This window comes from Homo sapiens, chromosome 8 (assembly GCF_000001405.40).
Source record: "Homo sapiens chromosome 8, GRCh38.p14 Primary Assembly".
NCBI lineage: Eukaryota > Metazoa > Chordata > Mammalia > Primates > Hominidae > Homo > Homo sapiens.
The window spans coordinates 92,633,911-92,659,166 of NC_000008.11; the positions used below are offsets into that span (position 1 = coordinate 92,633,911).

Genomic DNA, 25,256 nt, shown 5'->3' on the forward strand with positions numbered 1-25,256 from the left:
GTAATATCATCATCACAGTCATCACCATCATCATCATCATCATCATCCCAACTAACTTTACTTCAGTTCTTGCCATCCTGCCCAGCATTATTCTAAAGCGAATGAATAATTCAGGACATATATACTGGTAGACATGTAGTGAAAAGTTTTAGAACAGTTAGCCAAAGCTAGGTCATTTAGATTTGTTGATCTTTCTTCCTGCTATAGCAGAGCAATTCCCTGTAGCATAGTCTTAAGTGTTTATTAGTCTATTTTTAAATCACTGAAACTACTTGGCTACTACCACAACCCATGAAAGATTGTCCTACAATATACTAGACAGAAGTTCCAGGAAATTTCTTTTTATGGGTTATACTTTTCCTCTAATCATTTCAACAAACCTCATGTCCCATAATTTCATTATAAAGAAGTAATGTCAATGTTTAATTATTATGCTTAGTGTTCATAGTTATCTCATTGCTTCTAAGTTGTTTGTTCCCCTAAGGTACTATACCATAAGCATTCATTCCTTTATTCTTGTAAGATATTAGTCATAAGTAGCCAAACTTTAGTTATCATTGAATCTGTCTGTGCCTTCATATTGCCTTTTATTTATTCAAAGTTATCTGGCAAACTCTCAAAAATGTAAATGTCACTTCATCTGGAGTAATGATTTTGATAATAAAAATGATAAAACCAATAGTAAGTAAAAGAAAAATATAAAAATAATGATACCTTCCATCAGTTTACTACCTTATAGTGTACAAAACACTTTCTACATCAATTATTGTGAAACTTCATCTTATATGGAGATTGGGCTCTCAAACCAATATGTAAGATGAAGATTGCCTACAGTTAAAATTACCCTTAAAAATTCCTTAGGAAGTGCCACATGCAATATCAACATACCATTTCTCAGTAAATCCAAAGACTTCTTTTTTCTCCTGCTATTGGAACAGATCACTGTTTCTTTGGTTAAGCTCCAGCTGAAGCAGTTGGCTTGCGTTTAGGGACCATGTTGCATGAAAAATAAGTATCTTTAAACACTAGAATCACACTCCTGCACCATCAGGTGCTCACATTCTGAGAAGCAGCCACGGGGAGACAGAAGCACCACCAGAAAGAGCCTTCCATGTCACTCTCACCCGCGGGCATGTGCTCAGGTCCTGGAGGGCTGTGTGGAATGGCCCACGCCCCTGCACATTGCCCTCTCCATCGCTGTTTGTCTTTCTCTCTGCCTCTGATTTTCCTTATCCTTTTAGACTATGAGGGAATAGGCATATAGCTGAATATGTTTAAGTCAAAAATCTCATTATATACACTTGTTGTATCCCATTTGAGTATCTTAACAAGCTGAAGAGGTAGCTAGAAATTATTAAGCCATTTCACAAGTGAAAATATACTGAAGCTTAGTAGGATTACAAGATTGCGAATAAAAATGCAAGATATCCAGTTAAATTTTAATATCAGATAAGCAATGAATACTTTTTTAGGATAAGTATGTCCTATGCAATATTTGGGACATACTTGTACTAAAACTATTTTTTGTTTAACTGAAATTCAACTTTAACTGGGCACTGTATTTTATCTGAAACACTTACTTGGCTTTATGTTTTCTAGCTTCCACACTCCTTATATTAGATAACAGTGCTCTCATATTTTGAATGTATTAATTCCATATTTTACTTACATTTGAACAAATTACTTTTCTACATTATGTTTATGTTTGAAATGACTTTAAGTTTATTCTACTAAATTACTTAATTCAAAAAACAAACACTATATAAAACACATTTTCTTATTCAGATAGTCCATAAATTAAAAATCAGTCAATTCTTGATGAGAAATTGAGCATCTCTTTGTTTTATACTTTTAAAGATGAAATACCCCATGATTCTGATTTTAGGAAATGGTGTGAAACCCAGAGAAAAGTTGTAAATATAGTGAAGGTCTTTGCTATTCAGATGGAATGGAAAAAGTTTAAGCCAAAAAAAAAAAAAAAAAAGAATGGTCACATTCACAAATATATTGGGCTTGTACTCATTATGACATCATTAATAGCCAATTAGAAAGTTCTCTTGGTATTCAGCCTTCTGACTCCGTTTCACAATAATTGGTATTGATAGCATTTTATTGCTGCTATATACTTTGCTAGCACCAAGACCAATATATTCTGATCCCGAAAAATGTGATGCTTTAACAAGACAAGCACAATGTTATGTTATTTTTACTATGCCATGTTACCTGGCAGGCAATTACGGCTCTGGACTTTAACATTGTTTTCCAAAAATAACAATCATCTAATGTTTAGTTTGGCTAAAACAGAGATTGTGACTGGCCACCTGTTAGAAGAAAAATAAGACATTCCTGTAGACGAAAGATCTGAGGTAAATTATGAAAGGTTTTCAAGAAAGGGGGTAGTGTGTTCTATTGGCTACTCTAAAAAAGTGTTAAGAAGTGAGGAAAATTAGATAATAGACAAAAGTCTGAGTATTGCAAGTCTTGATTATTCTTAAAACACCCCCAAAATGCTACTAAGGATGAAAGGCTCGGACATTTATGACATTTAAATTGGAATATCACTGTAACTCTTAAACTGGTTGTCAGATTCCTTGCAGAGGATTAAGGAAGGATCTCAAGAAGTTCATGTGGCCAGGACAGCTGACTTTAAAGCCGCTATTTAACCAAGAAGCAAATGCAGTGGAGCCCAGTGTTTGTGAGGTTGTGCCCTGAAGCACACGACTGGAATAATTCTTGGCTCTGCCACCTACTATGTCTTTGGGGAAAGTTTTCCCCTCTCAGTTTCCTCATCTGTAAAATAGTAATAAAAATGTTCTTAGTGTGGTTTTGAAGGAATTAATTGAGAAATTACTGGGAGTAAAAAAATAAAGTGCTTATAATATAATAAATATCCAATAAATGAAGCTGTTATTATAAATGATAAGCTATTTGAATAAGGAGAGTAAGAATTTTTTGTTTGTTTGTCAACTCTTTTATTCAACGAACATTTAGTGAGTGTTGTTTGACACTGTTTTCGGTGCTGGAGAATCAGAATTTAACCCCAGCCTGATATTCTCTATCTGGCACCTTTCCATGTTCTTTCAGCTCAATTTTCTACTCCAATAATAAGAGGGGGAAAAATGTATAGCTCACAAAGTGAGTAAGTGACAGTATGGAATGATATTTCTTGTGCCTTGAAAATATATGTCTTATTATATCTTATTTTAAAACATACAACATCTATGTGAGGTATCATATTGCCTTATTATAGATGAGGAAACTGAAGCACATGGAGTTTTAATAGCATATCTAAGTCAGCAAATGGCAGAGCTGGGGTTTGTGCCTAAGTTTGCATGACCAGGAGCTATGCTCTCTTAACCACTTTAGTCAGGAGAAAATGTCTGAGAGCCCCTAAACAGACGATTCACCATCCTGATGTGTGAGAAAAATGGAAAGCCCAAACATTTCTTCATTTCTGTGGTCACTAAAATGATCTTATCTTGCATTCAGCATGAAAACTGAAAGCTAATTCAAAGTGCCATGGTATCAGTTCCCTAGTTCTCATCCATGAATATGCATTCATTAACATTTATGTAACTAGTCCCTCTTATTGCTGATGTGATCAAAATAAAAGAGTTAATGAACTAAGCCACCCTTGCTAAAAATAATCTTTGCAAAAACCACACGTGGTAATTCTAATGAGCTGTTTTACAGTAAATGTACTTATAAAGACCATGAAGGAAACAAAGAAACAGAGTTCTCGAAGTCAAATTAAAAATCATTTTAGAAAAGCCAATCTGGATCCATCTAAAATACATTTTAATCCCACACTATTTTTTCACAAAAGATGCAGGGCAATTTGTGTGTGGATACCCACTCTTTTTTTTCCTCCTTTTTTTAAGCCTGTCACCCAGGCTGGAGTGCAGTGGTGTGGTCACAGTTCACTGCAGGCTCAACCTCACTGGGCTTAGGTGATCCTCTCACCTCAGCCTCCCTAGGAGCTGGGACCACAGACAAGCACCACCATTCCCAGCTAATTTTTTGTATTTTTTTGCAGGGATGGGGTTTCACCATGTTACCCAGGCTGGTCTGGAACTCCTGGGTTCAAGCAATCTGCCCACCTTGGCATCCCAAAGTGCCAGGATTACAGGTGTGAGTCACTGCACCCAGCCTGGATAGCTACTCTTAAACACCCATAGAGAAATTAGATGTAAACTTTGGTAAGAGGAAACTCAGTCACCAAAAGACTAGCAATATCTCTATTCTTCAGAGCAAGAATTTAAATTGATAATAAATAAAAGCCAAAATCCTACCTTGCCACCTATTTCTGTGAATTTCAAGTAGGTGTATTCATTTGCCTACTTGTTGACATAAATATCTCAATATTTTTATTTTGAAATACCATAGTAATTCATATGTTATCTCTTCATAATTATAATCATATATTTCATAGCCTAGTGGGGAAATACAACAAACAATGCTCAAATATGAAATGAAAAATATGAGATTCCAAATGAATTGAGGGATCTTTCAACTCAGGAAAAATCTGTGTTCAGGGCAATCACACCCTGGATCTCATAATGAGTTCTACTGTGGGGGGCAGCATTTGTGGAAGACATTGGACATATTATTAATGACAAACTTAGAGGGATGCTTGGTCAATGGACTTCTCCAAATATTATATAGAGAAACAAAAAGCAAAGAAAAAATAGGAGATCTACATCTTCACATTATTCCCGCAGTAGCTTCTTATCAATAGAGTGGCCAGGTTAATGTCTCTCCCAGCACTCCTGCACCCAAAACAAATAGTCATTTTAAAACTCAACAAAATAAAGTCTCAACTGCCACAGATGAATGAAGTCATCACCAAGAAGGCATTTTTAACAATGAAAAAATTTTTGCTTTATAACAGGATTTTTCCTAGGCATTCATGTTTTAACTTTTTCTTTCTCCTTCACTCTTGTTCCCCTTCCTACACAGCCAATTTCATTCTCCAACTTATCAATCATTTTTCTACAGTGCCTCTCCTTTCATCCTTTTAGATATCCATTTACCACCCTAATCAACATTTCATGACCTCATAACTTTCTTGTTTTTTTTCTGTCCTGTCTTTTTTGCTGTTTTAGTTTCCTGTTTTCTCTGTGCCTAGCCCACACACTTTAATCGGTTCAAAACACTCTAAAGCCATCAGCAAGCACATCTATTTCCCCTCAGTCTCTGGGATATTTGTCCTGAGAAGGCCATAGGACATTCAGGTTGTCTTTTAAGATTTATTGGTAATGAAGAAAGGGATACTGGCATGAGATAAGGTGTCTGAAGATGTTCTGAACACTGAAATGTTCTCTATACATGAGATGAGTGTCTCTATTTTGCATCACCAGATGTGTTTCAATTCAGAATATCCTATTAGATGGCAACCTGGAGTGGGGCCTTCTTACTGATTTGGTGTCATGAGCCAGCCCTTTCCCTTCTCTGTGCCTCAGTGTTTTCAGCAATGAGATGAGGGACCACTCAAGGTCTCGGAATTCTGAAGCAGAAGTAGGACAGATGTTTAAAACAAAACAAAACAAAAAAGTGGGACTGAGGGGAAACAATGAATTTTTCTGAAAGCAGGACGTATATTACCAAGGAGCAGAATGTATGAAGAGGTTCTGCAATCATTATTAACTTCAGTTTGGGGCAAACAATTTGAGTGACATCTAGATTAAGTGTGTATTTTTTTTTTAGTTGATTTCTCTTATCTGAGAGCACTGATAGGCAGTTACTAAGATCAGAACCTTAAATCTCACTTAGTTTCAAAAGAACAGAACAATGATTGAGCAACCCTCTGGTAAGTAAAGAAGTATTTTGAGACCTGGCTAATATTCTGAAGTTGATTAAACAGGCAAAGCCAACTGCACTTTCTTCTTAAGCAACCCAGTTGGAAAGCACAGAGGGTGACCGGAATAACTAAGAAACAGTGAGAAAGAAGACGAGGGAGGGGTGATGGTAAGGAGGGAGAAGCAAATTGAAGAAAGAGAGAAAACAAAATAAAATATATTATAAAAATGTTAAAATATCAAAGGAAATTATTTAAAATCAAAATATTAAACAGTTCTTATGCATCAGAAACACAGCTGGTAGCATCTTTTCCTTCGAGGCTCAGCCAGTGGGCATGACTGTGTGGAACTACTTTAGAATTCTCAGTATTGTTTAACATTGACCAATAGCTTCTGGGAAGGCTTAGAATACTTGGGGAATCTTCCACAGAAGCAGCATTTAGGAATATTTTAGTCTACCCGAAGGTAAAAAAAAAAAAAAAAAAAAAATCAACAGAGAACGAGCTGAATTTTGGAGATTAGTAAATATACATTAAAATAATATCAAGTGATAGCAGCATAGCTTCAAAGAGCATGCCGTTTTGAGTTGAGCAAAAAATTAACTTGATCAGTGTCTGGAAGGGCATAGTATATATCAGCATATTATCATTTGGTTGAGTTTCACTGGCAAGCAGAGAAATTTCCTCCTTCCCCCCTGTGAAGTGCTACTGTGGAGAGAAGCATTTTCAAATTGATCTTACTAAGAATCATCAGTGAACAATTTGCTACTCGCAATCAATGGTTTCTAACAATGTTATAACAGGAATGTCATCTCAGGGCACATACGTAGTATTCTTAACTGAAGGATAATCACACAAAGATAAATTTAGTCTTTTTCTGTATTGGAGTATAGAAATATACCAGTACTTAAAATCTCAGAGTGACTTAGAGAGGATAGGTGCTTTTCAAAGGAAAGCACATTTGTGGGATTTTTAAAATAACATTTTTCTCGCCTTTAAAAAAGATAACAGGTTATATGAGTCCATCTTGAAGCAGAATTTCATGGCTACAAATCAATGTGGTTGTTGGTTTCTCATGACTTTTGGTTAGCCAAGTGGACCTCAAACTATTTTTGACTGGGGGCATGTTCTATAAAGTAAAGAGATTTGTAGGCCACATTTATCACTTTTTCTGAAAAATGTTGATAAAAATACTAAAATACATAAAAATATATACTTAAATGTGTATATATATATATATACTTTAAAATAGTGAAATAATTTTGAAGAATGGGGTACTGCTTAAAGTTTCATAAATGGACTTATAAATATATTAATGAATCAGAAATAGAAGTTTAGACAATTATGTCCTATATTGTCAATATAGACAATGGCATAAATTATAATAATACCAATTAGAGTAGACCTACAGAAATCCTTGGTTTTGTGGCTAAGAATTGTTTATTGACCATGCCTTGGTAGTAATTGATTTCATGGTTAAAAGTATGAATTAATTATACTGAAATCTTGTATAATCCAACAAGAGGAAACCAAGATTCAGAGTCAGAAGTCCCAAGTTCAAGACCTAGAAATACCCATAACTGAAAATATGATTCTAGGCAAGTTTTGTAAATGCATTGAGCCTCAATTTCCTTACCAATAATTGGGGATACTTACTTTATTGGTTAATGCAAAGATCAAGAAAGATAATATATTTGAAAAGCATTAATATAAATGAACACACTAAGAAAATAATAACTATTATAATTACTAACAACAAGCAATAATTTATTTTATTTAAGAAAAATGGTCAAAATAACCTATCCACCTTCCACCTTGTTGCAAAAATGTTTAACATTGATGTCAAAATCTTTGGTAAAGATAAGAAAGAATCTAAGGAAAATTTTAAGTAATTGTTGCTTACTGTAAATTCTTTTTTCTTTAGAGAGATATTAAATTGTTTAATATGAAGAAGTATTTACAATTTGTTTTCTCTCCCCCAAAAAGAGAAAACAAAGTATTTAAAGAAAACATGTCAACATCTTTCCCTCAAAAGAATTATAAGATGTGAATAAAGTAGCCTAATCAAACACTTTATTGTTTTGAAAAACACGGTACAATATGAGCATAGAGAGCTTCTTAGCAGCCCAGTTAACTTTTATTGATGGAGGCTTTCTGATGTAGTAGGAGAACATAAACATGCCAAAATGGAGTCTCAAAATTTGTGATATATTTTAGCTCTCTCTACATAGCAAAGTAATACTTTAGGAAACACAAAAATAATGTACTATGTGTATACATCCCTTTAGCACCCCAGATGACCACAAGATGCTGGATAAATGATTCTGCAGCCTTCTTCCAACCGTCTCACCACTGTAATAAGCTCATTATTTTCATGATCCAGCAGCCAGATTTGAGTATGGAGTATGTATTGGGTAGCTGAGAATCTGTTCCTCACAATGGATAATGATGTTGCTCTCAATAGTCTTATCCAGCAAGAATTTTCTAGGTTCGCCAGAAAAATTCAGAACACGTGAGTAGCCTCCTAGATGTGCCTCTATTTTTATCAGCTTCTGCAAGGATGAAGCAATTCCTTTTATTTCAAAGAGAGTGAACATTGAGTCACTTCCTTCGTATATATATTAAAGCAGAGAATAAACTAACGCAGCCTGTACATTTGTCTTCTCTGTCCACATGAAACAACTTTCACACGGCCTTTTAATTACATTCCCTCAAACTAATATTCTTTGAAAAAGAATTTTCTCTCCATGCAATTATTCCTGTAAACTGGCATATAAGGAAGAAAAAAGGACTGAAAACACTAATGTTCACATCCATTCTAACCAACTCCAATGCCAAGAAATGCACTGAATCTTTAAACGGACCTCCCACATTCTCGATAGGATGTTTTCTGTGCATGGTGATCCACAAATATTACCATTCCATGACAATGCAGTTTCATCAAGGTACGTCTCAATCCACGGGATACGAGTCCCACACAACAGACGGAGAATTTGGCGCAGCTCTGCGCACGCTGCGTGTGTTACTTACTGGTTATATTGCAGTGGCCACACTGAGTCCCGTATGGCGCCGTATTAACGAATGGCATGCAAGCACCTTCTGTTGAAACATCTGCGACAGGGAAATTTTAGGCATTTTTCCAGATAATTTTTGTGCTCTGGACCAAATTTTCATTAGGACTATAAAACCTGGCAAGCAGTATTGTTGTGTATGATTTTTTAATAAACTGGGACATGCCTTTGTTAAAGGAGTGAGGAAAAGGGCTCTTCAGAGACTCCTTTCTATTATAAAAAGTTCAGAAAACATATGACAGCTCACAAAATAACATTTCCCAACTTTTTTTTAAAGTGCAAGGTTCCAGGCTTTCGTAGACATATAAATAAAATTCACAGTTTTGGATGCAAACGCAAAAATGCAGATTTTCACATCTTGGAGTAAATGATTCCAACGGTGGCTTTTCTTAAGCACATGTTTGTTAAGAGTGAATACAGCCAACAGAGATGTTTTTTAGTATTTAATTTTTTATTCCGGCTGCCAAAAAATGTGTGTAAGGGTTTGTACTTTCTTTAAGAGATACTGTGTCTCAGAATTAGAGAAAAAACCTGAAGAGTTTGGGCACATGCCTATTTGTACTCGTAAACAACGTGAACCCAACAACTAGCATTGTTCATTTTTCTCACTAGTTAAAATACGGGTTTGTCTATTTCTTTCTTCACTGCCAATATCACCCTACCACAGTAATGGAGACTAGAAAAACTCCCTTTTGTAATTCTTTAGTTCCCTGTGCCCTGCTATAAACACTAAGGCAAAACAAACATGCTTGGCAGTAAATACGTGCATTATCATTATGTAAATAGGCATGTTATGATTATACTTCGATGATGTTGTTCTTTGTAAAGGCTTTTTCCTTTTCCAAATATATTATCCAATTTAAGTTATAATGCATATTATACCACTGGGGCTGTATAAACACTCTAGATCAGGGAGAATTAGTAGACTGTATATAACGAAATGTTTACCACCTATGCATATGGTGCTTGATGCTAAGACTACCAAACAAACAGACTAATGCTGCTTCACATTGTTCAATTCCACCACAGCAGTGCACAGAAGCCTTTGAGATTAATATCCATCTTGCTGTTCAAATTGAGTACCACATTATGACATTTTATATTGACAACATTATAAGCTGAGATGATACATTTTAAGCTTGATGAGATGAATGATCTAGTACTAGCAGAAAATAGGCTGCATATCTGAACCTTATATGAACTAGGAACGACTCATGTCACAGTCTGTTTGGAAATGTTACAATGTTTGCATAAATCCATTGCTTATGCATAAGCACCAGGGAACTAGAATCCTGAGGCAGGCAGTAATCTGTAAAGTTCTTGTGGCGCTTGATAAGCATGCAAGATGCATCTTACATTCTCCTTGGTGAATTGCAAATGTTTATGTAAGAAAGAGCATATAGCTGCATATCGTATGAAAAGATCAACGCAGATATCTTCAGTAGGGATTGGAAGAGAGCATAAGAAAATGAAGGGCCTAGTACATAATTTACTCAGGCCCTTAAAAACAAGCAAGACTCACCTAAAAAAGTAGATTTTTGGTCTTATTATTTGTCTTCACATTCTGTAGTTGTCAAAATTATTGGACCTATCAACCATTTATTTTATTTTACCTATAAAGACATAGCAGTGTCCACAATTAAAGTGAAGATGATAGTGTTCCTTTAATTCCATTACTTTCTCTTTTATGGAGCAAGTAAGCTGTTAGTGGTGAAACAACAAGACAATTATAATATTTACTCTTTGTTTGTTTGTTTGTTTGTCTAAATAATGTTGTCAGTGTTGTTTTTAAAGTCTTCTAAATGAGTATGATATTTGACACATAAACTGATAAAAGCTCAAACAGCTTGAAGATTCAATTTCTTTAAATTTAAAACTCATTAGCATTGGAATCTGATTTACAGGGTTTCAGAATAAATACATTAGGTGATGTTTTTATCTATTCACCTCACCCTTTACTAAGTACTTGTTTGGTGTAAAGCCTTTTTTTTCTTTTAAAATATGTTATCCAACTTTAGTTATCATGCATAATGTATAATTGGGGCTGGAAGCAAACCTATGATGGCTTTGAGGGGTTTCAAATATTCAACATATATATCAGACCCTCTGCTTGACCTAAGAAAATATCATTTCTACTTTATCATCAGATTCATGGTGGGTAAGATTTGAGAAGAAGAGCTGGTAGGCAGATCATGCATAAACACCAGCACAATGTGCTAGACACGACGTTTTGTTAGGCCTTCATTTGGAGATGGCCACTCTCCTTCACTCCAGGACTTTGTATGTGTTGTCACCACCCCTGCCCCTGAACCTGTTCTCTCCTGCTTTATCTGGCTAATTTCTAGTTGTGTTAGTTTGCTAGGGCTACCATAGAAAGTACCACAGACCAGATGGCTTAACCAACAGAAATTTATTTATTTATTTTTTCACAGTTCTGGAGGCTGGAAGTCCAAGATCAAGGTGCTAACAGGATTGGTTTCTTACTAGGCCTCTCTTCCTGGCTTACAGATGACTACCTTCTTAGTTTGTCCTCATGTGCCCTTTCCTCTGTATGCACATGGCAGAAGGTGGGGAGGTAAGGAGAGAGAGAGAGAGAGAGAGAGAGAGAGAGAGAGAATGCAAGTGATTTCTGGTGTCTCTTCCTCTTAGAAGAATACCAGCCCTGTCAAATTAAGGTCTCACTGTTACGACCTCATTTAACCTTTATTACCTTCTTAAAGACCCTAACCCCAAATAGAGTCACATTGGGGGTTTTCAACATAAGAATTTTGGTAAAACATAATTCCATCCATAACACTAGTCATGAATCAGGTCACGGCTATGATTTGCTTTTCTCCTGGGAACTCTCCCTAACCTTAAAGTCTGGGTTAGGTGGCAGTTTTAAATTAAGCCACAGGACCAATGCCATTTTGCATGCTCCCAGTAGTAGGCCTGATATTTTTTCTATCTTATGATAATGGCGTATAGTTATGAGTTGGAATATTGTCTTGAAGTAGGCACTAAGTGAGTTAAACATGTGTGAACCAAAGCTCCAGGCCAGAGTATGAAAAATCAATGGGAGAGCCCCTCTGTGGGAGTAAACCTACTTTTTACATTTGTGAAAATACAAAATGAGAACTGGAAAACTTATAAGAGAGTTAGAATCTATAGGCAGTGGAGTAACGAAAGTTGAAAAAATGTTATCTTAGCAGCTGATGCTTATAGTCCTAATTGGCTTGATGAGAAAGAGACTTCGAAGTCTTATGGGTCAATGTGACTTAGACTGGGGACAGATCTTAGGCAGTGCTGAAAGCTGCCAGTCACTTGTCTACACTCTATTTGAGAGCCACAGAGTCAGACGCGGACCTGTGTCCTACTTTCTTTCTGAGTCACATGGTGTTTCATGCTTTCCTTGGAGGGATAAGTGGGAACATGTCACCCTCCGGTGGGTTCATAAACTTGAATGTATAATTAGGTAGTCATTGCCATTGGCTTCCTTTTCATTTTCAGAAATCCTCTCTGGCCTCTGACAAGTCCCTTCAGAAGGGTGATAGCCACTCACATATTTTAGCTTCTCTGCAGGGTCCCTCTGAGGAGCCCTTACTGCCTCTTCCCATTTCATGGGATTAACTATGATTGAGATTGTATCAGTGCTGAACAAGCCTTGGTGACCTGTTAGGGTTTTGACTAGATCGGTTAAGTTACATAAGAAGCTGAGAGAATCTCCGTGCGGTAGAAACATGTTTAGAAGTGGTTCTCCGCTCCAGGGCACATTCAATAATGTATGGAGAAATCTGGGCTTGACACTACTCGATGGTGGGCAGGGAGGGTAACCCTGGCATCTAGTAAGCAGAGGCCAGAGATGCTGCCAGGCATCCTACAATGCACACAACAGCCCCCACAACAAAGGATTATCCAGTCCCAAATGTCAATAGGGCCAAGTTTGGAAAATCTTGTTGTAGAGGTTAAGAAAATGGGCTTTGGACTTAAACAGCTACCTAGATAATTTCCTGGGCCTAGCCAAGGTTAAATTCACCCACCTATAAAATGAGGATTAAAATATGCGTTTCTTAGTTCTTTTATAAGGAGTAACTGAGATAATATATTTATTGTCAGTTTAGCATAAACCAGGTGCTGGAGAAACTCTAAAGTGCTTCATGCAGTGACTGACTCAGAAAGCATCAAGTAAATGTAAGCAACAACCGCGATAGATTTCTAAATAAATGAAAAAACTGTTGTAAATATATAGCATTCAGACTAGATTATGGATTCTGTGTGTTGCCTGTGCATGCGTGTGTGGGGTGTGTGTGTGTGTGTGTGTGTTAGAATGGCAAATTACCTGTGATTGCTCCATTGTCCTGAGAAGTGAAACTATCCTATGATGCATAGGAGAAGGGAGTGCAAATCACCAGCCAGGAAAATCCCAGCTCTATCCAGCCTCACCTCTTGAGAGATCAGTGGGCTCTGGGGATAACGGACAAGCAAGGGACAAGCAAGAGGACGAGAGGGCTCAGGCGGTGAAGAAAGAAAAGGAGCAGATGGAAAGACAGAGGGAACTGAGTACGGAGGATGGCAGCTGAGAAACCTCCGTGAAAGTAGAGGCCCAGAAAGCCTGACAGAAAGCAACACACATATGGGAGACTGAAGGAAGCGGGGTTGGAATTCTAAAGCTAATTTTTACCTATAGCTGCCATCTTGAGATCGTAAGAATCCAACCACCCCAACTAAAAAATAACTTATTTTCCTCTTGTGAAAACACATGGAACATAATACGTCTTCAATCAAGACTCTACTGTAACTACCCTTAATCGAACTGTCAAAGTTTTTACCAACATCAGCAAACTCTCTGCTATCTCTTCCACCTTTTGCCTCCCTCCTCCCAGAGGCAGCCAGCCAGCCCTCGGGCTGTGTGGACCAGAGGTGCCAGCTGAACACGCTGGGGTGGAACATTGTTCTGTTGGTGGGTGCAGGTAGGTCATTGCATACCGATTTATATCCAACACTCCTAGTGGGAATTTTGTTTTTAAATTATCAAATATGAGGACATGTGAAATTTCTGAATAATTACTGAGTAATTGAACCTAGTATTGGAATTACTGAAAAATTGGAACATTCTTGATGTTAATTTTCTCATCAGTACGAGCATAAAATAACTAGCTTTTAAAGAGCCATCATATATCCATTTACCAAAACTTCGCGTAAGAAAGAAATTATCTTCTCAGCATGTTTTTTTTTTTTAACTCAAATTTATTTCTTTCACTGAGGAGCTCTCCCAGAAGTGAAGATCTTGAAAGGAAGCAGAGCTCAACGGCAAACTCACAAGGCTCACAGGGCGCCTGCGTTTCCCTCTCACTCCTTTCAAGTGGAATGTAGTTTTCAAGAAATGGGGAAAAAATACGAATGCTGGAGAAGCCTTTTATAAACAAGCCATTTAAACTTCAGAGACAATTAGCCCCCTGCCCATTTTAAACTTGTGGGTTTCATAGCCTCGGCTTTCTTGATAATTTACTTTGGAAATTCCCAGGCCTGTTAGGCTGGCCTGGGTGAGTTCCGCCTTCACATGTGTGGCTGCTTGGAGACGTCCAGCTGCCATGGTCAGTTTGACGAAGTACACATAAGCTTTTGGCACCACATATTTGCAATATCATGGACGGTCAAGGAGGCGCCTGTTATAAAAATACACAGTGAAACACAACTGAAGGACTGCTCTTTCTCAAAGACGGACGTAATGCATTCCTTCTGTTTAGGCTCATTTTCCAGCCTTTCACATTCTTTGTGAACAAGAGTTATAAAACAACCCTGATGCAGGCCAATTATTTTTACTTTGAAGGCCATTAATCAAGATTGACTAAGAAAATGAAGACAGCTAAGCAAAATTTCATATGTGACTAGAGTAAGATTAAAATAAAACCAGATGGGATGGACAGAGACACTAAGTATTTTTTTTTTAAATTTTTGGACTCGTGTAATAAATGTCTTTTACAAATTACAGCACTCTTATTTTCTTACAGTAAATCAAATCAGGCCATAATGTACAAGTGGTCTCATTGCTAAAATGTCAAAAATAGAACCTGCCTTGTTCTTGTAGAGTAATTCCTCAAATCTAAACCAGCAGTGCAGGCTAACAGTCTATAAACCATCTACCTGTGTACAATCAGAACTGTACCTGATGGATGTGTTTCTCATGGCCTCAGAGCAAACCACACAGTGAATTCTCAGAAATCTCATCATGAAATGATTAGAGTTTTGAATCAGAGTTGTCAAGTAGTCCAATGCCCTTTCAGTTAAGAAAAGGTGAGTTCAAGACCTGTTAAATATTCCAGATTCTCTGTCATGAAAATGACTAAGGGAGGCCGCAAATTCTCTCTACCTAAAGACTTTAAAATTGTTTTTCCTTGGATCGTCAGAATCTAATATTACTAGTAGATATATTATTTTTGTCACACAAATACACATTTTTTAATAGAATAGTAAGAGATGTGTGTTCAAAAATAAAATGAAATTTTTCCTTCTGAATTTCTTCGCCTTTTTTTTCCCCCAATTTTGCAAGGGTCTGTCTCCCATGCTTCAAACAGCAGAAGTATCTTCCCGCAGTGAGAAAATGACTGAAAATAACCAGCTGTTTCAGGATCTCTATCAAAACACACACAATAATCCCAAAGAATTCTTCCCCATTTAGCACTGTCAGGTTAAAAAGTCGGCTTAGGAAATGAGACTAAACTTTCTTTTCATAACACTCAGTGAACCATTTCCACAATATATTTAGAGAGGACATATGCATTTCTTAAAGCAGATTTAAAATAATCTGGAAAGAAATTGAAGTAAATTTTCAACTATAGTAATTTTTCTTAACTCTTCAGATGCTTCCTTTTCAAGATAAAGGCAATTTTGAGTTTACCAAAGAACATTGTTTTTAAAAATTATTTTCCTAAAAAAAAAATCAGTCAACCCATGAGAATAAAGGGACCCACCATTCCTTCTCTGATACCTCCAAACAAAGCGCAAAACATTTTGTAAAATTCCTCAGAAAAAAAAATGTAACTGCCTAGACAGTTATACCTTATTTAATGCATTAAATTGTGATTCTCAAAAGCCACATTCACTTTGCTTTTGTTTTGTTTTGTTTGGTTTTGTTTTAAAGTGGGCTTGTCATTTATTTGCTTTCTATTTAAAGCCTTCTGGTGAATCCTTCTGTAAATAAAGTTTCTTATTGATATATGGAGGCTAACATCAAGGAATAATGCTGAATTGAATTAAATTAAAGTGACATAAATCAACTGCTGAAAGGTATTACTCTTAAAAGTTTAGATGTTTATGTGGATTTCTTAATTAGTGACTCTAGAAGCCAGACTAACTCCCCCCAACATGCTTTATTTGTAAATCCAGGAATAAAGGACTCTATAAGTTGATGTGTCTCTAACTCATGCAGAATATTACCAGGGACATTTTTTGCCTTGATCTCAAACAGCATACCAAATCCAAATTCAGTATATTTTGGGGTTCAAAACAAGCTACTTTTCTCGATATCCACATATCTGTCAATTGCAACTTCATCCTCCAAACCTAAATCTCAAAATCCCTAAATTTTAACGTCTTAGATCCCCTTGAAAAATCTCAAACACCCATGCTACATTCAATCACTAGTCTTCCAACCACCAAGAGCTATCTGTCAGTCAGACTATGCAGTCAAGACTTCTCAAGAGTCCAATACAAAAGAACTGACCATCTGGGAAAATATGCCCAGGGGATGGAGCTGTTACTAAGTCATCAGACTTTTAAACAAAGAGGGGAAAATCTGGCTAAAACCTTAAGAAATGGAGCAAAATACATGAATTTAACACAGCCAAAAGAGGACTCGTTAATTTTCCCCCACTTCCCTCTTAGTATTTGCCATCTTCCACTTTCATAATTCATGCTCAAACCAAAGAATATGGGAATTGTTCTGTATTCTGCTCTTTCCTTACCCCCATGTAATCCACCAGTAAATGCTACCAACTCTGCCTTCAAAACACATCCCCACTCTCAAACGCTTGTTTACTATCACTATTAAAATTTTAGTCAAGTCTCTCATATCAGCAGTCTCTTCCCTAGACTATCATCACAGATTCCTCCCCAATGTACCTGCCTCTTCTTTTGCTCCTGTAATCAATTCTCAAGGCAGAGTGATCTTTTAAAAATGGAAATTAGGTCTTATCTTACACTCCTCTTGAAAACTTTCCAGTTGTTTTACTTCATAAATAGAGGAACATTCTACCTTATTTCAATGCCAATACCTTAACTCATTACAGTGGCCTGTACAAACTTACCTCATCTAGCCTCTACCTTTTGGATATTGCCTCCTTCTGCTTTTCCTGTGGCTTACCATATTCAAGCCCACTGACCCTCTCTCATTACTGAATTAAGCCAGGTTCATTTCTGTTTTAAGACCAATGCACTAGATGTTCTCTATACCTAAAATATTATTTTCCCAATATTTTGGGAAATATTGTAGCTGTCTACTTTTTGTCATTCAAACGTCTGTTTGAATGTCATCTCCTCAGAAAGGCCACTCTAACACTCTGCCTAAATTTTCCCCCAGTCACTCTCTGTCACATTACCTTATTTTGATTCTCTATAATATATATTCATTTATTTGGTCACTGTTTATCCATCAACAATAGGATGTAAGCTTCATCAGGGCAGGGTCCTTGTCTCTCTTGCTAACTGCCATAAATCTAGCATTAGATTGAGTGTGGCCTTTTACAGGAAAAAATAAGTTTGTTGAATAAATAAAGGAATGAAAATGGGGGAAAAATAGAAACTAAGTCAGAACACATAAAAAGGGAAGTAGAAACAAAATGAGTAGAGACAGAGCTGATGCTTCTTTCAGAATCCAAGCCCATAAATGTGGGGTCTCTTCTGTGGCTTTTCCTCTGTTTGGGAAGAGTTGGATTTGAAAGGGACAAAGTCACTGAATACAATCAATTATCCATGAGACTGCCTTTTCAAACCCTTCCCCTCTTGACATTTCTGCCTCCATTCATGGGACCGTTTCTCTCAGTTCTCTATGCTTTCTGAGCTGGACCACCTTGTTCTGGTCTTGACTATTCCCAGTCCATCCAGTGCACTGCTGCCAAATTAATCTTACTAAAAACAGTATGCATGATGTCACCTTCCAGCTCAAAACACTCTTCAAGTGGTTCTCATTATCTAAGGGTAAAGGTCAAACGTTTTAGTTTAGCACACAAGACCATGGGAGTTCACCCAGACAACCCTCCCAGCCTTATCTCCCCTGGCTCCTCAACAGGAACCCAGTCCTAGTGAAGCTGGGAACTCCTTAGCCCCTTGAACGCATGTTGTCCACTCCCCGTCTTGCCCATGGAACTTAGGATGATGAAAATCTTCTCCTCTTCTATTCAGCCTTTAACCAGCAATCATGGTCCAGACAGAATCCCAAAGGAACTTTTTAAAAAATCCTAAAATGCTTATTATTCTTTATTGTAGCTTTGGCCATTATCACACATTACTTCTAAATGATCATTATTTTCTCCTTAATTAAGTCTTGTTTCCTTGAAGGCTGGAAATATATTTTTCTATTTTTTTCGCACTCCTCTCAACTCAAACCTAGGAAATATATTTTTCTTTACTTTCTCCCCTTACTCGGACTCAAACTTTGACATGTTACTGAAAACCTTACAGAGACTGTATTTACTAACCTGAAAGGAGGGATGATAATGGTAGGTTTGCAGATTTGCTACAAGAATTAAATGATATAATGCATGTAATAAGTTTAGCACAGTGCCTGGCATCTATTGCAATGAAGTAGGTTAAGAAATTGACTGATAAATTAATCAAATAATCTATTTAGAAACTGTAAAACACCGCTGGTTATTATATGGATTTATTTATACTGCAAGTACAACTCCCCAAAACATACATATAGTAAACACAAGTTAATCTTTTTTAAAAGGATGTGACTTCTGATTTCCAGTATCATCACTATAACCTGTAATCTGACCCAGTAATTCTTAACCTCTTGTAAAACTGAAACCCCATTAAAAATCTTATTAAAGCCCTTGGATCTCTCCCTAGAAAAACACACATACATAAAAAAGATGTATATATAACTCCGGAGAGCTTCATTGGCCCTTCTAGCCTATGCATGAATTTCTGGCAATCTATTCAAACTTTATCAAGCCATAAAGCCCAATGTTCAGAAACCCAGTGTCAAGACTGTTCACTCTGTCCATTCCTGGCTCTTTGACAACACTACATTGATTACCAAACACCGATCTGCAGCAGAAGGCATGAACTCACTTTTTAAAACAAAGGCAAATTAAATGAAGTAAAAGAAAACCAAAAACCAAAATAATGAAGAAATATGTTTTTTTTAACACTTTTGCAACAAGTGCACTAGGCTGCTTTCACATTAGATTTCAAAAACATGGACCACTAATTTTTGGCTATTTCTTCTCTACAAATGAGATAGAAATTACAATATCAAAAGAAATCTCAAGTTCACCTTCAAATTTGGGGTTTTAGTTTTCAGAAAAAAAAGAAAGAGAAAGAAAGATCTTTCTTTCTTTCTCTTTCTCTTTCTCTTTTTCTTTAAATCCTTCCTTCCTGCTTTAAAGTTATTGAATACATGCTTGGTGCCATACAGTTTGCTAGAAATCGGGCAGATAGTAATGAGCAACACAGTTTCTGCCCTAAAAAATCTTACAGTCTCTTGAAAAATACAACATTACTAATTACTTATATGAATGAATAAGTGGTAACAATATAATATGTACCAACAATTGTACGTATGAACAATATAATATGTACCAACAAGGACAACTGTTGTATGTTATAAGAGTATGCAACTGGAAAAGAAAAGCTCCTCTAGGCATCAGAGGAAGTCTCTTGGAGAAAGACACATTTTAACTGAGATCTGAAGATTGGGTAGGAGTCAACCAGATGAAGTGCGTGGAATGAGGGGATTGGGATGGTGTCATAGGAGAGTCACCAAGGTAGGAAAGAACATCCTAGGAACTCAAAGAACACCAGTGCTGTTGGAAGGTGGAAGAATTATGGAAAGCCTTGTAAGTTATATATTTGTTAGGAATACCTCTGATTTCAAGTCATAGATAAGTAACATGGCTTTAAAATGTGGGTTGAAATTTTCTTATATAACAGAAATTTTAGAGATAAGTAATTACCCACACTGCTTCAGCTATCCATTGATATCACCAGTGACCCAGATTTCTTCTGCTCTTCCTCCTTTCATGATGAGTGCATTTTCTTTCATTCTCATGCTTGCCATTTCATGGCCATAAGATGGCTGCTGAAGCTCCAGGCATCACCACCATATTCAAGGCAGGGAAAAATGAAGGAAAAGTGGCAGCACCAGCTACATCTCTCAGGCTGTCATGGAGAAAATTGACTGAAGAGGCAAGAGATGATATGTGGTGACAGAAAGATATTAACCGGGGAAAAATGCCCGAGACACGAAAGGAGATGATAGTAGTAGAGAGGGGGAGAAGAGGGATTCAGGAAACAGAAGGTTTAGGATGACTCTAACTATTCATAGGATTGTTATGTATAGCAAATGCAGTCATGTGTATGAGTGCACTTTAAAATTATAAAGTTTTATATGAAATTCGTGCATTTTAAGGTCAAAATTTGACTAGCTTGCTATTAAGATACATGTTGTCCTTGAATTTAAAACTCCTCTTTTATTAGAACTCTTGAAAGATATAAAATCCAGTTGATTCATTTGGTAAAATAAAACTACATTCTGATCTTTTTTCCTTAAAAACGTCAAAACTTCACTTCTATTTAGTGATGTAGAAAAGACAAAAAATAACCCCGAGTCAACTGTATTTGCTCCCTCCAGCTTAATAAAATAATTGCGCTTTTGTGCTCGTACCAAGGAAAACCCAACTGCAGCAGATAAAGGATAGCCTTAAAGACAGGAGGAAAAGCTCCAGTCTCCCTTCAGTCAGGTGAATCCTTCTACAGAAAAAAAGGTGGAGATGGAGGGTGTTGCACTAAACCCACATCCTAACATAAATCTCATAAAAAAATTAGAATTTCTCATTTTTCTATAACCGCTACTATTAGGATTCATTCCTGGGCTGAGACATTTTTTTTTTAATTTCAACTCTCACATTAACAGTCCAATAATAAACCCTTGATTAAAGAAAAAGGATTACAGTGAAAGGGTTGAAATAAGCTTAATTGTAGAGGTGTGATTAATGCCACAGTGATAGACTCCCAGGTAATGATTTTTAAAATTTTATAGGAAATGTTTAACAAGATGATTGCCTGACTATAAAATTCTCTGTACAAGAAAATAGTCCTTGAAAGCAGCATTGGGTCCTGTTGCACTAATACATTTATGAATGGCAACATTTCTTTTATAGTTTTGATGAATGCTAAAGTAGAAACTTTATTATAATGATTTTGGACCCAGAACTGTGAAAATAGAGGGCAGAATATGAACATTTTACCAGATCAATCAATTTTCATTTAAAATTCTACTCATTGTGTATGGTATCAAACTATGAAAATGTAACATTTCAAACTAGTGATTTCTATCCTACCAAAATTGCAGTACTTATTTAGGTTTTGAAGTAGATAGGATCAGTGTTAGAGACAGCATGGTGTAGCAAAAAAGAAAAAAAAGAAAGGAAAGAAAAGAAAAGAAAATAGATTGAAATACCTGTGCTGTAGTTTCTTCTTTTATTTCGTCATTCAATCTGCGAGCGTTTACACAAAGCCTAATAATTGTAAGACAATGAAATAGAAGGACCCCAGATGTTTCTAGGTATTCTTCTTAAGAAATGCTCAGGCTCCACAGGGTAGGAACACAGAGGCAGACACATAATTGAAACGTCATAAATGGTATGACCTTGTGTTCATTTGTAATGAAAACATATAAGTTTATGGGAACATAGAGGAGAGAAATTCATCTCAGGAGGGTGTGGATTAAAAAGGGGCTTAGGGGCCGGGCGTGGTGGCTCATGCCTGTAATCCCAGTACTTTGGGAGGCTGAGGCAGGCGGATCTTGAGGCCAGAAGTTCGAGACCAGCCTGACCAACACAGTGAAACCCCGTATCTACTAAAAATACAAAAATTAGCTGGCGTGGTGGCGCATGCCTGTAGTCCCAGCTACTCGGGAGGCTGAGACAGGGGAATCGCTTGAACCTGGAAGACGGCAGTTGCAGTGAGCCAAGATCGTGCCACTGCACTCCAGCCTGGCAACATAGCGAGACTCCGTCTCAAAAAGAAAAAAAAAAAAAAAAAACAAAAAAAGCGGGGGGCACTAGGGAAAGCTTCCAATAAGCATCAGCACATGAATTAAGACTCGAAGTCTTCTCTTACACCAGGGAATTGAGCCAGTTCAAGGGGGAAAAAAACATTAGGGAACGGTGCCCCTTTTAAGGAGATCAAGCAATTGATATTTTCAGAGTTCAACAAGTGGCAAGACATGAAACAAGACAACGTTGATCAACTTTGGCTAACTTTAGGAGAAAAAAAAGTGCTGGAAGGGTACAGGATGGCTCATAGAGAGTCTTACAGCCCTCATTAAGGAGCTTGGACTTAATCCTGAAGAAAACAATGAACCATCTGGAAGATGCTATGCTCATATTTATATTTGAAATCATTTATGTGGATTACTCTACAAAGGGTGGATTTAAAGGAGACCATTAGGAGTCTCCTGGCAATGGGCTGAGGGAAAGAGGTTGGAGAAGAGCTAGGGAGTATTGGGACATTAAATTTGCAAAAATAGAACGGAATCAAGGATACAGGTTAGAGGACACACCAAGACCGCCCCCAAGAATAAGGAAAACAAAGCTGGTGTGATGGGGAAGGTGATGAGGGCTCAAACATGTGGAGTTTTAGGCACCTATGGATTTCCAGGTAGAAATGACAGAAGAAAACTGCATACACGAGCCAGCAACTCAGGGAGGATTCTGGCTGAAGAGAGTCACTAGAAGTTACCAGCAAGCAGCATAACTGCATTAGAAGGGCATTCAGCTCCTGAAAGTTTGCTTGTTAATAACACCACTCAGCGAGAGCTGTGGCATGAAAGGAGCAGGAGGCCTTTACTGTACTGTGAGATTCCTTGAAGATCAAATGAGAGACTCTGTGAAACAAAAATATGGAAGTATGACATGGTTATTATTTGAACTTGACTCAAATGCTTAAATGATATACCTTAAAAAACAAACCATAAAGCTGTAATCATAACAACAAAAACAAAATTCATCTGTTGATGTCGAATCACTGCAATGCTATAAGGGGGTGAGGCATTTGGGAGGTGATTAGGTCATGAGGGTAGAACTGTCATGAATGGTATTAATGCCCTTATGGAAGAGTCCCCAGAGAGCTGCCTTACACCTTACAACATATGAGAGCACAGGGAGAAGGTCCCATCTATAAATAGGGAAACAGGCCCACACCTTGACCTCAGACATCCTAGCCTCTGGAGCTGTGAGAAATGAATTTCTGTTGTTTGTATGCCACCTAGTCTACGGTATTTTGTTATAGCAGCCTAGATGAACTAAGACGCTCACTCACCAAAATAGTTTTATAGGTGTGAGATAGAGAGATATTAGGATGAGCAGAAAATGTCACTATGAAAATTTTATAACTCCACTGAAAATCTATCCAGATTAAATTATTGGGAAGAAATTGATGACGGAAACACTACCTAATATTTGAAAAATGATTTCAACTTTTCTAAGGTTTTGGGTTTCATTTATTCCTTATATTTTCCTGTATGTACATTTAAGAACAAGTCAAATTGATTAGAACAGCACTCTTTGAGGCTAAAATACCCAAGCCATTCCTCAGGAGAAATTAGTCCTTAGGAATTCTAGGACACTATAGGATTTAAAGAACTGGTGGGGGATTAAAAGCTCACACTATTTTGGTAACCAAGTCCAGTGAATTTTGAAACTAATTATTGGGCTTTCGTTACATCAAATGTAGATAGTGGATAAGGTCATTTTATTTGTTTATGTCCTCAGTGTTAAATTTTAACTCCATCTTCTCTTTTCCTCAGTAAGTGATCCAAAATTATCTTTGCTGCTTTCCCAGAAATAATCTTAAAGTCAGTGCTCAGTACTAAGATAATGATTTCAGTAGAACTGTGCTTCACTTAAAGAAAAAAAACGAATTAGATGAATTGTATTCATCTAATATGTAAAGACTTCAGGTCCTTTTTTTCCAATAGAACAGAGTAAGATGCAACACTCCCTTGGGTCTTGTTGAAGCCCAGCAAGAAGAGTTTGTTAATTTGGTACAATATTGCATATAAAAAGACATCATGCTGATTTTAATATAGTTAGGGTTAGCGTTAAAAACCAGCAGAAGAGTATGGTGTTTGGAATCAATTGTGAGATCTTGTTGCAAGCTAGGTAACAACTTTGAACCTTCACTGTAAAGTGAACATAATGACACCTCCCTAGTACTATGTAAGAGATGAATTAGATAATGCATATAATGGGCTTAGTACAGGAGCTAGTAATTTTGTCTTAATAAATTAATAGACACTCTTATTGCTAATAATAACAAACATTATTTTCATAAATAAAATCACTTTTATAATTTTCTCTTATAAGATGACCTTTACAAATAAAATTGCTTTTATAAGTTTCTCATATAAGATGACCTTTACAATTCAGAGTTTATTTTGACTGTCCAGCATGTAAACACTTGTAATGTGAAAGGGCTCTCAAGAGAGGTGAATAACTGGGTCATACCTCCTACTATAAAAACTTAAAAGCATGTTGATGTTTCTTTCTCTCTCTGACCAACTAGATGTTCCCATTTTGGAAAGCACAAATGTATACTCACATGGCATGGATTCAAAGAGAACTTTTGAAAAATTCTGTTTAGCTAAAAATTTATATCTAATTTATCTTTACCTTTTAGTCCTTTTCAAGTATTTTTTGAGACTCTAAATCAATTTTCTCATGCATTAAGTTATTCCTTTTATTTATTGCTTATTTATTATATATAAATATATTTTTATTTATTATTTCTGTGAAAAAAGATAAGTGATCAATGAGCAGGTCACAGAGCTAAAAAAATCTCATGATAAATGAAGAATGAAGAAGATGAGAAAATAGAAAGAAAATTAAATGATATTAGTAAATGTGAGAAAGTCAAAGGTATACTTGTTATGGCCAGTGTCTGAAACTTAATTGAAAAATTGCATAAGTCTAGTTGTATTGAATATAGTGGCAAAATTATGCTATATTTCATTTATCTTTAGTACTACTTGTTTCTCCAAAAAATAATTAAGCATTGTTTTTTCCTACAAGTATTATATTTCTGAGTTATAAGACTAGGGTTTATTATAATGCTGAGTTTTGATGACATTCTTATATGGGCCAGTGGCTTTTCCGTCTTTTATCTAACAGTTTATGTTATAT

The 25,256-nt window shown here is 36.5% G+C and overlaps 1 long non-coding RNA gene across 1 annotated transcript in view; it reads right to left on the reverse strand.

Annotated features, from left to right (window-relative positions):
• LOC102724710 (uncharacterized) overlaps positions 1-21,584 on the reverse strand; it is a 90,052-nt gene extending 68,468 nt beyond the window's left edge. Inside the window, exons 1-2 of the long non-coding RNA NR_125827.1 lie at positions 21,533-21,584; positions 20,032-20,251 (exon numbers count right to left, since the gene is read on the reverse strand). This is a non-coding gene — a long non-coding RNA (uncharacterized LOC102724710). The remainder of the gene's footprint in view (positions 1-20,031; positions 20,252-21,532) is intronic.
• Positions 21,585-25,256: the final 3,672 nt, after the last annotated feature.